The sequence below is a fragment of the Homo sapiens genome, chromosome 11, assembly GCF_000001405.40.
Source record: "Homo sapiens chromosome 11, GRCh38.p14 Primary Assembly".
NCBI classification, from domain to species: Eukaryota; Metazoa; Chordata; class Mammalia; order Primates; family Hominidae; genus Homo; species Homo sapiens.
Window position 1 is genome coordinate 115,241,760 of NC_000011.10, and position 18,855 is coordinate 115,260,614.

General features: G+C 38.9%; 1 protein-coding gene across 13 annotated transcripts in view; it reads right to left on the reverse strand.

Moving 5' to 3' along the window:
* The window catches only part of CADM1 (cell adhesion molecule 1), a 335,180-nt gene that overhangs the window by 72,524 nt on the left and 243,801 nt on the right, over window positions 1-18,855 (reverse strand). The window contains exon 1 of one of the 13 annotated variants that reach the window (XM_017017457.3): window positions 15,073-15,282. The exons of 7 other annotated variants lie outside the window; for them this stretch is intronic. In XM_017017457.3, coding sequence (XP_016872946.1) covers window positions 15,073-15,214 — 142 coding nt within the window. In that variant the 5' untranslated portion in view covers window positions 15,215-15,282. Of the gene's footprint in view, window positions 1-15,072; window positions 15,283-18,855 lie in introns of those variants that run through there. 5 more of the 13 variants (XM_047426691.1, XM_047426690.1, XM_047426693.1 and 2 more) reach the window with 5 other exon arrangements.

Here is an 18,855-nt window from a genome sequence, read left to right on the forward strand (position 1 = left end):
AAGGCTCCTGCTCTCAAGGACCTCCCTATGCAGCTGTTTTACACCAACTCGGGGCAGATTATTTGCTCCTTAAAAAAATGTTCCCACATAAAGAAACAAAGGTCAAAGATAAATACTCATCTAAAGAAAATTTGAGACAGTATAAATAGAGATGCAATTAGAATAAATGGAAGGTTTCTACCTGCTATCATATTTCTGTTGAAGGATCCTTTTTTTTTTTTTTTCCTTTGCTAGGACACACTGGGAAAGTGTGAGAGGGGTGGCTAAGATGGCTCTAAGCCAAATCCACCTAGAAATAGACCAGCCCCTGGCAGAGGATTAGAAAAGAGGAAACTAAAAGGATAAGGAAAAAAAATTATTAGAGCCACAGATAGACAAAAATTTCTGATGCTTGAGGAGCAGACCAAAATGAAACCCAACCTCGAGCTCTAGGATCCAGGGAATTAACCCAGGTGTGAGAATGCAGGCCCACCGGGCTTGCAGTGAGAGGGTAAATTCCCGAAAGCTTGATCCAGCAGTGGAGGCTTAGTATGCCGAACAGTGTTACAGAATAACAACAAAGAGAAAAGGTGATCAGAAAAAAAAAAAAAAAAAAATGAACAGATGCTTATTTTTTCCTTAGTGCATTACTGTGACAAACACAGAATTCAGAACCCAGCTGGAGAAAGTTTATTCCCAGATTGGAGAAAAGAAAAAGGAGAAGAAAATTTCTACCAATCAAGTGAGGTTTTCAAGGTGGTTTTGCTGGCCCTGGCAAAAGTGTGTACAGAAAAGCTACCACTCTCACAGCCTCAGGTAATGCGCGATCTACTAAGAAAATTAAGAAAAAATTTAATTGTGTGATTCAAGGGCTATAACTGTCTTAAGGCATAGGACTTGCTTTGAGTAGACAAGAATACCAAACACGGTCTTACTGGGTTATGGGAGGGATTTCTTCTATCAAAGGAAGTATATTAGCAACATAAATAATCTTCAGTTTACAAAAGGTACATGTGGAAAGGCCTGGTGACGGGCATTAATCCTTTCAACATAAACCAAGGCCTTACAAATCCTGACTACTATCTTGCAGCCACTGGGACTTAAAGCCAGTTGCAATTCAATTATGCTTTAACAGAATAGTTCCTGTGGAAATAACTGTATGCTTTAATTTTAGCTCTTTATTGAAATCCTAAGGCTAGCATATTCTGAGAGTAGAATACTCCACTCATATTAAGGCTACAGAACATGTATATAGGGGATGGGAAAAGAGGCATGTTGTCCATGATTTTGTCTTTTAAGCAATGACAACAATAAAACAGAGTGAGGTTTTGTTTGTTTTCTAGAAACATTCTTAATCACTTATAATTGAGTACTATAAGGCCAGACTATTTTAATGTGTCACTACTGAGTGAATCATTCAGGTAAAATTTTTCCATCTGCAAATGTTTGCCCTTGCTGTGCTCTGGCACATAATGCGCTCTGCAAACCCATGGTGGTATCATCATCATGACTGTATTATTTTCTAAAATTGCTAAGGCTAACCTAAAATCCAGTGTCTCAGAAAATGCCAATTCCTAGCTATGTTAACATGGTTATAATACTAATGCTAAAAAATTATAAGTGATCATGAAATATTTTGCTGAAAGATATCAAAGGGCCTTGTCTGATGGTGGTGGCCCAAGGATGTCATTCTGTAAATATCACCAATAAATTATATGGGTCAGCTGGACGGCAGTTATGTTACACAGAGCTCCACACTTTAAGGCACCATAAGATGGCTGCAAAGGAATAATAATGACCTATTTATTTGAGGCAAAGGAAGTGAATGACAGTGATGAAAATACGGTATGTATGTCAGTACTCTTAACTGCCTGAAGCCTTTATGTAAAAATAATTTCTGCTCACATCCTCAAATATTTCTTCCAAACAGAAGAGTGCACTGTGACTTGATAAATTTCCCCTTGAAATAGATATCATGACAATTAGGTAGCTACAAAACACAATTTGATGTGTAGCAGAAGGGTACAAACAGGCAACTTTGGTGCCTTTCTTCAAGAATCCATTTTTAAAACCTTTCTGATTTTCTAAAACTCAATTAGCAGATATAATGTCAAGGCAGAAACAGGACATGTTCTGGGCAAAAGAAATCAAATAGGTACAACATACTGTAGCCATTAAATAAGGCTGTTAACAGGAAGGTGATTTATTTTAAGGGTGGAACAATATCTGGCATTTATAGACTAATCGGTGTATATGGGTGAGGTTTAGAAGACAGAATCCAACTGGATTTTTATTTGTATCAGCAACTATATTCCCTATAACTCCCCGATTTGCCAGACGATTCCTAAAAATAAAACTATGGCACTGGAGAGTCCCATTCGCTTACAATCAAGCTTCCTGTAGTAAACTAGAAGTTGTTAGGGCACTCATCACAATGAAGAGAAAGCTTATTGTCTAAAGAAAGATAAAATATATTTTTATGATTAGTAATGACCATGATAGCAGAGTTGTTGGGGTGGGGGTGCAGCGGGCACATAAATCCCCTACTAATTCAATCTTCAATTAACATAGTTTACAAATGCTTTCCTAAAACCTCATTTTGTTATAAACTCCATTTCAGTGACATTACATAAAACACTTGCCTGGATTGGAATCTATTCAGTCAACAATATGGCCACCGTAGGGAGGTGACAAGGCAAATCTTAAATGAGACATGAGGAAGGGAACAAATGTTTATCCAGGGCTGGGCACTGTGCAGGATGCTTTACATACTTTTCTCTCTCAAACTCCTGGAGTTTTCAGTATCCCCGCTTTAGAGATGAAAAACCTGAGACAGAGCGATTTAAATAAACTGCCTGATGTCATTCAGCTAAGTGGCCAAGCTGATGCTTGAACCCGGTTCTATCAGATTCTCCGGCCCACACAGCTTGCACTCTTTACCAGCCAGCATCAGGCTTTGATGCCAAGGTTCATACTGGCTCTGCCTTGGAAAATGTACTTGTTTTTAAAGAGGGTTGTTTGCCTATGAGCAACTTCTGATTTTTTTTATTTCCATATTTTATCCAGAACACAATTACACACTTTAAGATGAGAGAGAAACTGTCCTGAATGTAAAAGACCTTGTTTACTACTGCTTCCTTCTTTCAGTGCTCGGCACTCTGCCCCTAGAGAAAGCCTTTATTACCAGTGCATGGCGGCCTTTTGCCAGCACCACAAGCTCTCGCCCCCGCTGCCTGGCTGTTCATCAATAAAGCACTTCATTTACACCGGGGGAGTCTCTCTAGTCAAGACTATAATAAAAGGGCAAGTCATAGTTAAAACAGAATTGAGTTTATACTATGGCAACTACGTAAACTGTTACTGACATAGAGAAGGAGCACCAGCGACTCTTCACAGGGAAGACAGTTTGCCCAGAGAAAGGGCAAATACAGTCCCTTGTAGCAAAATCATATTAGGAAAACTAATCATATTAGGAAAACCTTCTGCTCTATGGAAGACTGAACCTAACATTAAATCAGCACATATTGTCTAAATAGGAGTCAAACCAAAACTATTGATTGTTAAAAAAAAAACATTCTGCTAATCAATATAGTAAGTTACTACTTTAAAAACTCTACTATAGTTCTTGAAATTTTACACAAATGAAAGGCTCAGGGTTATTCATTCCTACCCTCCTAGGTTGGAAATTTTCAAAGAAGCATGTTTTGGAAAACTTATTTTCTTTAGATGTGTGAGCCTTCGCTGACTTGAAGCTTCAAATGACTTGTCAATTATGCTCATTTCTGTTGGATACTATTTTTACAACCCTGTTCAGGGTGGGCCCAACTTGGAAGAAGAACCTCTAATCCCTACCCGAAATAAAACCATCACTAGTAGAGGCACTGCAATTCCTGCTAACGTTTCTGAGAGCTAGTACAGAGTTGAGTACGTTCAGGAAAAGAATGAAAAAAATTAAGATTCTGCTGAAACCCAGAGGGAAAAATCTTTCTAACTACGTATGTTCCCCCAAGTCAACGTAAACACAGTGTTCACTACAAATCATTAACAAAGCCATTAAGATTTGATTTCTATCTAAGCAATTATTGTCAGCATATTTTGTACATTTCCTTTAAAAGACTCAATCCTATCTTTCAATTCATTAAACTGTTCCCTGCATTTACAGAGTTTTATATCAAATCAGAAACCTATTTGAATTAATAAGAATTACAGTAAAAGTAATTTGAAAATAAATTATTCGAAGTTCAAGCCACGAAAGCGTTTGATGAAAGAATTTAGTTCTATTTAAATATTACAGTAACATTTTTAGGCATCCAATGTGCAGACAAGAGACAGTGAGAACCAGGGTCCAAAGAGAGGGGCCCATCAACTGTAGATTTAAGGTTAAGGGTGTGACCTCTTCAAGACAAATGCAATTCTTTATTTCTGAGACAGGCAAATATCAACCTGCATGAATACTTTAGTATTTATCTAAAATCAAAAGCAATCAATCTGTCTGCTGTTTACAAAGCCCCTCTTAACCTTTTTGATCCTCTCCATGTCTTGTTACACCAAACAGTTAAGTCAAATATGTTGATTGTCTGCTCCAAAGACTGTCTACTTAATGGTGAAAATAATTATGAATGCCAACCATACAGTTCACAGGCTTAGAGATAAAATAAACTAAACCAACTCAACAAATAATGGAGTGAACAAGAATATGTGACATTGACCCAAACACTTCATCTGTATCACCTTGTTTTTTATAGAACCCTATGGAATCCAGAATCAATAGAACTGAGTAGAAAGAAATTTGGAGATCAACTCTCTCACTTTAGGCCCAGGGAGCAGATAGGCCTGAAATCATATGACAAGCATGAGGCCCAGCCACGAGTAGATGCCAGACCCCCTGACCAAGTCATCAAGATATTTCTATTCTTGGCTCTTTCTAGATAACACCTTTGATTCATTGCTAATTACAAAAGCAATATGTGCTCAAAGGCTTTTGTTGTTGTTGTTTTGACAGTTTTATTTTATGTAGCATTTATAACACTGTATCCTATGGCATGGAGATGGTCAGGATCTCAAAAGAATCTTCTGCTATATAATTACTGTTGTGTCACTTGAGCTTATAAAAGGAAAAATATTTTATTTAATTTAACATTTTATAATCAGTAACAGGTGAGGCAAATTTTTGAATGGCAAGTTTAAGAGTAATCCTCCTCTGTGCTGGATTTTTCTTCAATTAAAATTGTTGATTTCCCCTGAATACACAACAAAAAATATCATCTGACACAACATTAAGCTATTCATGAATATTCTGTATACACGTTCTTGTTTAGCTGACTAATGGCAAATTAACGTTCTCTATTTTCGCTTAAACACATACTATAGGTATGTTTGATTAGCATTGAATTCCAAAAGCTGATTACTATGCATGGTTTGATTATGTAATTACATAATAGAGTATAATGGCTCCTTTGGAGTCATTATGATCTATATGGCAAATATGTTTCAGTTTTGCTATAGTTTAAATACACGTTGAAATGACAGCTCATAACAAGGTTCCACTTTTCAGTCTTATTGGGCATTTTCCCATTCATCCTAACATCTCCTTGACACCAATTAAGGTCTATTGTGTCAAGCTGCATACACTTTTGAGAAATTCCTTTTGTTTTCTTGGCATTCAAAGGAGGACATTAATTTTAAAAGCAGTATTAAGCAAAAGGCCTGGTTTAAAAAAAAGGCTGAAATTCCATCCTTCATCCACCCTTTGAAAGGTCTGCAGGGAATCACATCTAGTTCATTAATCATTGTTCAGACAACCACAAGGGGGTTAAAGATGGAATTTCACCTTTAAGTCCAAAATGCACATGAAGGGAGAATAGCCAAGAATACTGATGCTTAGGGTGGTGGCTCACCACAATGCATTCCACTCAGGGTCTAACTCAACAGCAACCACAGCAAATAACATGAAGACCCATTTTCTCAAACCTCATGTCTTCTAGTGTCCCTTATATTCTGAAATTCCTTTGGGGAGAGGCAGCTCTGAAATAGCACAGCAAGGTTTCTCCTTCAGAGTCCCCAGACTGGGTTTTCCACAGCTATAAGGCCAACAAAACTTACCTAGTGAATAGATTTTTGACAATTCCGCCCTCAACTTACACACTGGAAAGTAGTCAGGTTTTAAAACACTTACTGGAAAGAATTATGTAAATTAGGAAAAAAGTTATTGGAAAGAATTATGTAAAGTTTCTTTTGTCCCCATGAAATTCTTTAACATCAGCTGCAAGAAGAGTTATTTCTGCTTTTCTCTCCCAAGAGAATGATCTCCTACACCATGCCAAACCAAAGGTGACCAGAGTCTTGACTTCAAAGACTAATATGCATCAAACCATTTCTACCTTTGTGTGTATTGGTTTTTGACATTAAGGCTGAAGAACGGAGGTCAAGCACAGTCCAACTTCTATTTACATACAGGATGGGTATCTCTTGTGAAAGAAAACACTGATTAGATGGGTGAAAACTCTTTTCAAGGAAGACTGTGACAAAAGAAAATAGTTATAGCATCCCTGCCTGTACTATTACAATTTCAACCATCACATTAGCTGCCTTCCCTTTAAAAGACTGAGCTCAATATGACTTTTTAATCAGGGCCCACATCACTAAAAGTGCCAAACAATTACGACGCTGAAGGTCTGAGCTATCTGATCCCATAAAAGGAAGAGGTGCAATTCTCTCTATAGAATGTTTATGCGGAGTGACACCCATCCACTAAACTTGAAGATCTGAATTAGCTTTTCCATTAAAATTCACTTATCAAAGAAGCTAATGGCAAAAAAAGAAACAGGAATATAAAAATAAACCATAAAAGATAATAATAATCATTGAATCCTTTTGCTTTGCACACTGGTAGGTGAAAACCTGAGACTTTTTTCTCTCACTTCTTTTCATAGCTGGATAGGTTGCATGGGCTTTTCGTTCATAAGCAAGATAGCATCTTTTTTAGAGAGAAGATAGGATAACCCTGAAGAAAAACTCTCTCTAGTGGACAGGTTTTATGAGAACTAAAAGAGAGAGAAAAAAATCGAGCCCCCAAAGTAGAAAAGCCACTATTTCATTTGTTTGTGAGATGGCATTGAAATCACCTTGTGGAAGAGTCATTTTAAGCCTGCTAAATCTGCTTAGAGGCCCTTGGGAGAAGGGGGGCTCTTAAAAAATATTAATTAAACAATAACTGCAGCCATCCAACAAACGTGGACTTTGGAGAAGAACAATCTGAAGGCAGAGGCTTCTTATGAAACTAATTGTGTTGGCAAAGCAAGCAGTTTCTTCTCAATGGATTTGATTCTGTGATGCTCGTTTATGGCAAAAAAAGAATAAAAGAATAGTTTTAGATTGAGCTGCTTTAGTAGCAATTCAAAGCTGGGTGGTATTCCAGCATTTCAAAACATATGAAGTTTCTTTTAGACAAAATGGAGTTGTGCTGAAGGCCAATTGTTGATCTTCTGTATCAACCACTTTGCTAATGAACTTATAATATGATATTATACTCTAGGAAACATTAAGTGACTGCTTTCTAGAGTGAAAACCGGTTACACAAAATTCCACTGTTGACAAGCATGGACTATTGAGAAGGAAACTCACATTCTTTTAAAAGGGATGAACTGTGTAAATAGCAGCTGATAGCTGATAAAGCACAAACCCTCACTTCATCCGGTGTTGTTGGTCACAGGCCCCAAAGTTAGTTGAAGTCTGGGATAATAGGAAGCGACTGATTTAATTCAATATAGAACTATCTACATTTCCCAAAACACAAGCTATTCACAACTAAAACAAAAGGTTTACTGGATTAAAACTCAAAACACATATTTGAAAACCACAAAGGAAGATACAAATATTAGGTTCTACTGTTCCTACAAAATCTAAGGGAACTTAGATTTCTCTTTTACCCCAGAAGAGATCTTAGTAGCCAAACTACTTATTATATATACTGCAGCAGCCTCTGGTGAGCTCTTACTCTGTAAAAAATATAACATTGGCTTTCCCTAACCAAATTAAGGAAAAATTTAGGATTTCAAAGCTATGGGGATGGGTGACCCTACTGTGGTCTCTTCTACTTTAATGGATACTTCTCAATCCCCCTGAGTCGTAAGTATATCAGAGATGTAGGCTGTTCACAATACTTGCCATTACTAGTTATTCTTTGAGACAGAGTCTCCCTCTGTTGCCCAGGCTGCAGTGCAGTAGTGCGATCTCGGCTCACTGCAAGCTCCGCCTCCCGGGTTCACACCATTCTCCTGCCTCAGCCTCCCAAGTAGCTGGGACTACAGGCGCCCGCCACCACCCTGGCTAATTTTTTGTATTTTTAGTAGAGATGAGGTTTCACTGTGTTAGCCAGGATGGTCTCGATCTCCTGACCTCGTGATCTGCCTGCCTCAGCCTCGCAAAGTGCTGGGATTACAAGCATGAGCCACTGTGCCCACCCTTACCAGTTATTCTTTATAAAATTATTTAAATTGAATTTCTTTACAACCTCATCCTCAAGTCTCAATGGAGATAACATATGTATTTCCCTTATTTTATATATCCTAATTTTAAGTACCCAATTTAATATGATTTTCTCTTTGTTAAGAGGTACTGTGATTAAACTTGGGTCACTTTTCACTTCAGCTCACTAAAAGCTGGGTTTTTCCCCCTTTACATTTGTCTCCAGGGTGTTAAAAGATTAACAACTAGTGTAAGATATTTAAAATCATAAGACTGTAACGGGTAACAATAATTACTACATAAAGAGAAGAAAAGGAAAGTGGCTGCTATTCTCCACATGTATAGAGGCAAGAAAAACAAATTATTTATTTTCCAAAGCACTTATTATTAATTTTTCTAATATTAAGAAAACTCTCACTGCTATCTGGAGGAGGATATTCTTTTAATCATCTGCATGATAACAATAGCTAATGTATTTTTAAAATGTTTTCTATGCAAGGCGCTATGCTTCTTTTTTTTCCCTTTCTTCACATTATCTAATTTAAACCTCACAACAATCTTATGTGGTTCAATATCCCATTATCATCTCCATTACACAGACAAGGAAGCTAAGATTTACATATACTGAATAAGTGGTTGGAACCAATATCTGAATCCAGGTCTGTTTAACTCTAGATTGGGTGCTATTAACAATTATACTATATTAATAAGGTAGCTGAAAGGACAATAAGCTTTACGATGCTAAAAGAATGAAGGAGAACTAATGAATGAATTTATAGTATCTCATTTTTATAACTCAGGAACAAAACTAAAGTAACATTCTCAGCATATCAAGGAATCTGAAGCCAAACAGCCAATCTATCAGCAACCAGCATGTTCCAATATGTGATACTGATAAAATTAGCTCTACAACAGGGTCTTTAGTATTTAGAGAGGAGATGTCTGTTCTGCCAAAGGACCCAAACTCGAAAGGCAGCTCAACTCCAACTTAACGGCATTTACAGTACCTGCCTCAAGGGCATTCATTAGTATTGACAGTCTACGTGGCTGAAATGTGGCTGTAATAGCAGTCTCTCTCTACACCTCCTCATTCATTTTTCCTGCCAACAAGAGTCATTGAAAACCTTCCAAATTTAAAGCTTAGAGCCGACAGGACAAGCAAGTAAGGATATCAGTTGGAACACATCAGATATGGACTCAGAGTGAATGTCAGTTTCAACTGACATTACTACAGAAACAGAAAATTGGGAAGTGGGAGGGGAGAGGTGTTTTATATTCTTATTCTAGAGTGTATTCTGTGAGTGTGTGTAATATGGTTTGTTCAAGAAACAGCTGTAAATCCATGATAATCATCATGCTGAATAATGCTGCAACATTCAGCTTATCCACATCTCCTACCAGGAAGCCAAGCAGCTTTGAACTATTATATGAAATGACAATTTCTTAGCTGGAAAACTGGGGTCCATGACTAAGGCCCTTATTGCTGAGTTATTCACTCTATCATCTGTCAATCATAAAGCAAGTGCTAGTGGTTTTTTGTTTGTTTATTAGTTTTTAAAACTGGTTTCCTCAGTTGCTGGTCCCAGCTCAACCTGGGAAGACGTATAATAGAGGTAGAAAGCTCTTTTAAGCCACAGTTTGATGAAGGAATTGCATGTGGAGAGAAGTCAGTGGACCAAAGAGATTCCAGATTCTACTCTTATGCCTGCTGACTCCCCAGTGCAAAGCCTATGTCAGACAATTATGCACAGTAACTACACAAACTGGTGCCATTATAACAATAACTTGATTAGTATCATCTAAGTGTGGGCTGCTGATTAATCATCACTGAAATTAGAGATAAGTGAGAAGAACATTACCTATGACTTATTTTTCACTAATAGGGGGCAGCTAAGAAGAAATGAGACCATCGCACTTGGAAAACAGGAATTTTTGTTGTAGTTCTGAGCTTACTGGTGGTGAAAACAGGAAAACCTCTGAAATTCTGAATGTTTCTATATTTTAAAATGGATAAATGTTATCTCTCCAAAAGGATTATTATGAGAATTGAGTGAAGTAATGCCTATGAAAGTATTTAAGCTCCAAAAATGCTAAATAGAGAACTATGACCTTCTCTTCCATATTCTTCATCAGCATCACCACCATCTATGCACTCTCTGTCTATTTTATTAGGACCTTCTTATGATCTTCCATAATCTGCTGAATTTTTTTTTATTTCAGAGGTTTAGCTATAATTGTTTTAATTCTAAGGCTAACTAAAAAGCAGAGAGCAAATTAAAATATCTTTATCAAACATTTATATTGAATTGCAAATTAAAAACCACAAGTATGAAACATATAAGGTAAATAGCAGATGAGGGCAGAGGACCAGACATTTGGAATTGCAATCTACAGCATTAAAAACATGACTTATCGTCTGGGTTTCCTCCCTTTCTGTATAAGCCCATAAGTAGTTCAGAGAGCAATCACCATATTCAAAGGGTGTGAAGGGTGCCTAGTGTTAGGCTGATAATGCAATGCACCCTTCTCCCTGTAAAACCTAAAAAAAAAAATCAATATTTCAGATGCCAAACATCTTGAGGGAATACGGTGTTTCACAAAAGTCAGCTTTCCATATAACTAAACCTCTCTTTAAACACTGAGACTAAGACAAAATGAAATAAATGACAAATTGCACAAAAGCTTGCTGTCTTCCAATTTTCTCTGTTCTATGCTTCTATACAGGGAGGACATCCATGAGTTACTGAAATATGCACGAATACTTGGCCTTCCTCTAAGCCGGGGGTGTCCAATCTTTTGGCTTCCCTGGGCCTCACTGGAAAAAGAATTGTCTTGGGTCACACATAAAATACACTAACACTGATGACCCCTGATAAGGTTAAACAAACAAACAAACAACACACACACACATCTCATAACGTTTTAAGAAAGTTTACAAATTTGTGTTAGGCTACATTCAAAGCTGTCCTGGGCTGTATATGGTCTGTGGGCTGCAGGTTGGACAAGCTGGCCCTAAACAGTCTTAGCCTGTTCGGCTTGCACGTGTCCTCTGCTGTTTCCCTCGAATGCTGGCTGTCACATCTCACAGATAATTCCTGCCTTTAGGACTAAGTGCATGAGCTTTGAGAAAGCTATCAGGTATTGAGACCTTTCCTGCTTTCTAATGAGTTCCTGGGTATGTCTAAGATGTTTGGGGTGTCTGGAAACCTAACCTTCACTAAGTGGTGTGCTCCTATGGCATCACGGGACATAATTTTCCCCTTTCATTTGACATCAAACAAAGAAAAGTTGCACAGACAAAATTTAATTGAATAATAATATTTTGTTTAGTTTGATAACTATACAATGACACTAATAGATATTCTTAGGTAAAAATATACCCTTGAATGTAGGAAGCAAATCAATATGTAATTGATGACTGACAGTAGTTACTGACATAATTTCTTAATTTATTGCTTAATCAAACCCACCTATTACTAATCTACTCATCACAGCGGAAAACTGACCATGGAGGAATTCCTACTTGTCCTGTAGGATTGAGCTCAAAGCCATCAGCTTTCTCCATGAAGAGAGCTCTGATGACTGCCCAGGTTTCTTGATGTCTAACTCACACAAATCGTTATGTGTCTCAGTCTCAGTACTCATTACATGGATAGCTCTGTGATTATTTGTTTATAGGGTTATTTCCTTCATTTGATTTTGATCTGGGTTCAATCCTAGCTCTGCCAGTTATTAGGCAGACCTTGGGAAAGTTAAACTCTCTTAAGCCTCAGGATTCTCACACATAATAATGGGTATGAAATACCTCCCTTGCTAGGTTATCTTGAGGTGCAAATGAGATAATCCACATATTTGTACAGCTTGAGTCTTGACACAAAACCTGTGTGCCAAAAATATATATTGTTATTTTAATTATCTTGAGCTCCTTGAGAGCAGTCACACTATCTTAATCATCTTTGTATCTCGAAAGCATAATACAGTATTGGCTAAGAGGGCGAATGTTAATAAATGTTTATTGAATAAAATTACTAAATGATAAGCTGTTTTAAGACTTCATGGGTGCTAGGCGCTCTCACTTTTTGAAGTAACTGGTCCATATAACATCAAGACTTATTAAGTATCATCCATATCTCACACTAAATATAATTTTGAATTAAAATTTTCAAAGGGTTTTTGCTTTCAAAATTATTTCCAATTGTATATTTTATTTTGAAGCCAATACTTTTCGATATCTCGGGGATTTTCACAAGACTCTTGGAAGGAAACAGGCCTTAGTATTGGACCTAGAGTGCTAATAGAGAAAACAGCCCTACTTTAAGAAGTTCCTAATGCGCAAGGGAGACAAACACACACACACACACACACACACACACACACACACACACACACAGAGACAACAAACGCATACTTGTAAGTCACAAGTTACTAATATGCTATGGGTACCATAGAAAAGGATGACCAGCTCAGTTGGGATAAGGGTGCAGCTTCTAGAGAGGGGGAAGAAGGAGAGGAAATCTGAAAGGAGGATCGTGGCATATTTGGAACAATATGAAAAATACAGTGTGCTCTGAATAGAGACAAGAAGGAACGTTTTCTGGAAAGGTCATTAGGTCCAGATATTGAATGACATTGCATGCCAGGCTAGGGAATTTGCACTGTATCTTGTAATCAATAGGGGGCCATTAAGTGATTTTAATCCAGGGAATGATTACACCTGTATTTTGAAAGATACCTTCTATGTAGAGAGGGATGGGAGGCTGAGGAGGAAAAGGGCTGGAGTCAGGAGGATCAGTTAAGAGACTGCCACAGAGTGCTCAGGAGCTGATAAGAGTCAGGGAAAAGAGTATAGAGAAGAGGAAGCAGAACTCAGGAGAAGGAAAAGAGAGTGAGCAGGAGTCGAGAATACTTCAGAGGTCAGGCGCACGGGCTTTGGCATCAGTGTTCCCCTTTTAAAGGAAGAAATGAGCGTTACTTGCCTCTATAAACGTCAGTTAAGGTCTAGCTGCCTTCTAAGGAAAGACCAGCAAAGAGCTAATTTCAGAAGTTAAAGGGCAAAGGACACATACATTCTGCAATATGACTCAAGAGGGTTTTCCGTAGCACCCAATTGTACCAAAAATATAATTAGGACACCTGTCCACCAGTCCCCTCAGAGCTTTGCTATGCAGTGTTGTTGACCAGCAGTCTTGACAATCCCTGGGAGATTACTAAAAATGCAGAATCTCAAACTCACACGAGACCTACTAAGTCAGAAAGTGCATTTTAACAAGAGACTCAGATAATTCCTACGCATATTAATTTGAGGAGCGCTGGCCTGGAGTATATTAATTCCAATCATTCTTTTATATCACAGTCATAAACACAAGACTAACAGCTAAACCAAAGGAGATCCTAGAAAGAGAAATATTCCTAGATAACTTGTTTTGAGGAAACTGGTGAATCTTGGTGTAATGGGATAAAGAAGATCATGAATCCTAGCCACCAAATTAGGCCAGTTTCCAGGAATAAACATGTTTAAAAACAAATTTTTAAAAATTCAAGGTTGCAGGAAGATAAATTGATGTGGCTCATGGATAAAATCAATAGGAAACTGAATGTATCATTCTTCCTTAAGTTGCAAACAACGAGCAATGCACAGATGAAAAATAACAACAACCAATGCACAAATGAAAAATCCTCTCCCAAAGCAGCTAGCTGACTGTAACCAATGCAAATAGATTATTCTGCACTTAATTGCAAAAATGACTACTTCTAGCCAGCGCTCTCACCCTTAGTGGGGTCTGTCAGTTCACAAGCGGTAGCACCCTAGCTGAATTTTTGCTTACTTGGTTTTATTGTTACTGTGTGTTTTGTGTTTGTGAGCATTAGGCCAGTGAAGACAAAAACAGCAAATAGAGAAATAAAGCAAGTGTTCCAAAATGAAAACTGAAAAGAGGCTGCAGAGGTTTGTTATAGAAGTGATGAAATTCAGCTATATGATTTGAAGGCAGGAAAAAAATAAAAGCTATCTTACCCATTACAACAGGCCTTTTCACTCTGGCTAGCAGATAAAAATTGCTGTAAAAATATAGGTAACAGCATAAACCAAAGTTTAAGAGAAATAACAAGAGTCTTAAGCTTGAGGCAGAAAGAATCAGGCTTGGAATGAGCCTCATAGAATGTCCAGGAGAAGAAAAAGTAAACACCAGTTTCATTTCACACAGCCTCTTAATGAATATCCATGGATCAGCCTGGACTGCTGGCCCTGTTCTCAGTCACTGGAGTCAGCGTGCCTTGTGCCATCCGGATATAGGCTAACAGCATCGTTAGCAGCTGCTCACAGGGGGAAGTAACACTTACCTTGAAACCAGAGAATTCACCTCAGAGTGAAAGGCTCAGTGTGGGGGAGGTTCTTTCCTATCACTCTGAAAATTTATATACCTAGGACTTCAATTTGTTTCAGTTTTCCAGTAAACTTTTTTTCTGGTTGGAGGTGGGCAGGGAGAGAGAGCCAGCAACAAAATGGCCATTGCCATGTTCTAGTTCCTATTGTTTGTGTTCCTTAACATATGGCAATTGCAATAGGTTCACACTTACTCCTTCCTCTAAAAAGTTTGTTCTTATATGAAAGCTGTTAGCTGTTCTTACCACTGGTATGTCCAGATGCCTTCATTGCAATGGGAGCAGATCTCTGAACAGTTTTCTGCTGGGTTACTAAGTGCAGTTTCAGAGAGAATAACATTCTGAATTTTGGTCTCTTAAAAAAGTCGTTAGGTTTATGGGCAGTCATGCTTGTCACATTTAGAGTGTGAATTACGTACTTCCTGGAAACCCAGTTAAGCCCTCACAATTGTGCACAGCCATAATTTCTGCAGAACAAGCACCAACAATTGAGGCACTTTATTACGACTACTTTTCATGTATAAGATGCCAAAATCAACACTTCCAACTTTATACGGTAGTTTTTCTTTTTAAAAAAGTTTTTTTTTAATAAAGAAAAAAATAATCTAATGGGCTACTTGCTGTTCTATTCACTTTTTAGATTTGCCAATTTTTGAGTGACTGCCAGCACCAGGGACTCTTTGTAGCACCTTATACTTGGGATATAATAAAATCATGAAATGATTAAAAATACTGTGAGTGTAACTGCAGAAGGAACTATATATTCTGGGCCCCAAGGAAGGCCATTTCTTTGCAGAATCAGACAGACTCCATTTATGTTATTAAATTGTAGCACTATTCACTGTCCAGACTGGAAGCTTCCTGACATGTCAAAAGCACTAAATATGTCCAAAGCACACATTAGAACCTTAACCTTTAGAATGCTGGTATTCTCTAGCACTGTAACCAGAGGAGCATAGGAGTTAGTGTATCCAGTTCTATGACATCTTTTAAATGTCAAAAATGTTTATCTGTCAGAAAATGTTTATTTTTATCACTAATTCACCAGTGAATGAAAAAAGTATGAAGAATGTAGGGCTTGTACACAGAGTAAATTATTAGTATAAATGACAGGACCAAGTAATATTAATAGTAATAAAAGCAGCAGTTAAATGCTGCTGCTTTGAACCTTAGCTCTATGCCAGGCCACCCTTTTAAGGGTGTTTGTTGGTTGTTTTGCATACATCTGCATTCTCAAACGTTGTCACATGCATCAGCATCACCTGGAGGGCCTGTCTGCTGGGCCCTTCCCAGGGTTTCAGATTCAGCAGGTGCGAGGTGGGGCCCAGGCGTTTGCATGCCTAGTAAGCTCACAGGTGATGCTGACACTGCTGATCCAGGGTCTATGCTCTGAGAATTGGCATACGTAATCTAATTGAATCCTTTACCAACCATCAAAGTATTTGCCTATTTTATAGATGAGGAAACTGAGGCTTACAGCAGGGCTCTTCCACAGACTAACCGGATAAACTTGGGAAGGTTACTTAACTTCTCAGGCCTCTGAGGGTGATCATTTCCATGAGGACTTTTCTCATGGCCAGATCGTGTCCTTTCCATGTAAACGACCCCCTGACTTTATCCGAATGTTAATCCATGTCCCTTTTTTTCTGCTGCCCATTACTAGTACCGTATCAGCTCAGATTTATGATCTGCCAGCTGTGTTGTGATTAGATGTCATCCCTGTCTTTCTATTACTCCGATATTGATAGATAAAATTCTGTGGTGATGCATCGCCTGCCCTTTCAAAGGTTACTGCCAGCAGATGCTAGGAATCAATACAGTTCTTATCTGTCACAAACCACAAGAAAAGCATGGCAAACAAGGCTCAATGAAAGGCCTGTGAACAGGTCAAAGAGGGAACTCCGAGATGCACTCTGCCACCAGCTCTGTTTCCCGACCTACTCCAGAACCCAGCTTTGTTGGATCTCAACTGTCTAAGATTTGGGCCCTATAGCTTAGAGCCAGGCCCAGAGTCCAAAACCATCTTTGGTGAACCTTGTCATGGACACTGGCAGCCAAAACCAAGAAGCTAAAACTCTACTTTTATTATAACGTGTTACCAAGATCAATAAGATATCTGAGTTCTTTGGAGCAAGTACTAAAGAAATCTAAGGTTTCCTTTTCTCCCTCCGTCTCTCAAATCTAAGGAGATGTAGCAGTTCACATATACTTTTCCTTTCCTCCAACCATCTTTCAAATAGGAAGAGTCCTACTTTAGGGGAAAATGAAGATAAGAAGCACAATCATTTTTATTTTTAGATGATTGTAGCTCAAAGCATAAAGAAAAACAAATGGTAGTCATAGGTGCCCTAGAAAGCTTTTAATTTTTTTAAAGAACATGAAAAAGAGAAAAATGTTAACTTTCCAACTTTTTTTTTTTAGATGGAGTCTTGCTCTGTCACCATGGCTGGAGTACAGTGGTATGATCTTGGCTTACTACAACCTCTGCTCCCCAGGTTCAAGCGATTCTCCTACCTCAGCCTCCCAAGTAGCTGGGACTATAGAAGCGTGCCACCACGCCCAGCTAATTTTTGTAGTTTTAGTGGAGACAGAGTTTCACAATGTTGGCCAGGCTGGTCTCGAACTCCTGGCCTCAAGTGATCTGCCCACCTCAGGCTCCCAAAGTGCTGGAATTACAGGCGTGCGCCACCGCACCCAGTCTTAACTTTTTTTTTTTTTTTTTTTTTTTTTTTTTTTTTGAGACAGAGTCTTGCTTGGTTGCCCAGGCTGGAGCACAGTGGTGCCATCTCGGCTCACCGCAACCTCTGCCTCCCAGGTTTAAGTGATCCTCTTGCCTCAGCCCCCCAAGTGGCTGGGATTACAGGCACACGCCACCACCCCCAGCTAATTTTTATAGATTTAGTAGAGATGGGTTTTCGCCATGTTGGCCAGGCTGGTCTCAAACTCCTGAGCTCAGGTGATCCACCCGCCTCGGCCTCCTGAAATGCCAGGATTACAGGTGGGAGCCACCATGTCCAGCCAACTTTTTGTTTTTTTTAAAGGAAAGAGGTGCTTAATCTACAGATGAAAGCAGAGCTACGGTCTCTACCTCTCTGTTAGGAGTCTACTTCCTTAACGTTCGGTATAGCCCAAGAGGAGCTAAAGAAGGAGCTTTCCTCCAAACACTGTCCAAGCAGAAATCCTGCCATCTAAAGATCTCATCCTGAACTCTTCAGCATCGTTTTCTCCCTCTGTAACTCCTGGCTCCATGCCCTTCCCACCTCATTTCACTTTAGCTCTAGCCTTCTCCTTTGCTCAGTCCTGTCTCCATCTCTGAGATAATGGCTCTTAACCCTCTCTGTTTTTGTTTTTTGTTTTTTTGACAGCGTCTCACTGGGTCACCCCAGCTGAAGTGCAGAGGTGCTATCATAGCTCACTGGAGCCTTGAACTCTCTGGGCTCAAGCAATCCTCCTGCCTCAGCCTCCTGAGTAGCTGGGACTATAGGCACATGCCACCATGCCTAATTTTTTTACTTTTAATTTTGTTTAGAGACGGGGTCTGTCTATGTTGCCCAGGCTGGTCTCAAACTCCTGGACTCAAGAAATCCTCCTAGCTTGGCTTCCCAAAGTGTTGGGATTACAGGCATGAGCCACCATGCCCGGCCACCCTTTTGTTTTAATGTGCTTAGATTGACCTCTCTGGATTAGTCCCAGGACAGTCTCTAATGATCCAATGTGCAGAGAGTAAGACAGGTAGAGCTCAACACTCTAAGAAATGGTTCCCTTCCGTGGTTTGTATCAGGTAATATGTCACATCATACATATTGGTTGTACGCTGGATGTAACAGAACTCTCAATGGTTGTATCATACTGTATCAGGTAATATGTGGCCAGTGGGCCTCTCTATCTTTGTGCCTGGTGGCCTGAATGGCCGAGGCCTGGCCAGTTTTCAGAATAATGAGGAGGTATAATTGCTAACAAGACATTAGGTCAAATGGCTACATGAGAATGACCGACACTGATTGATGAGGGGCTGTGCTTGTTTACTGA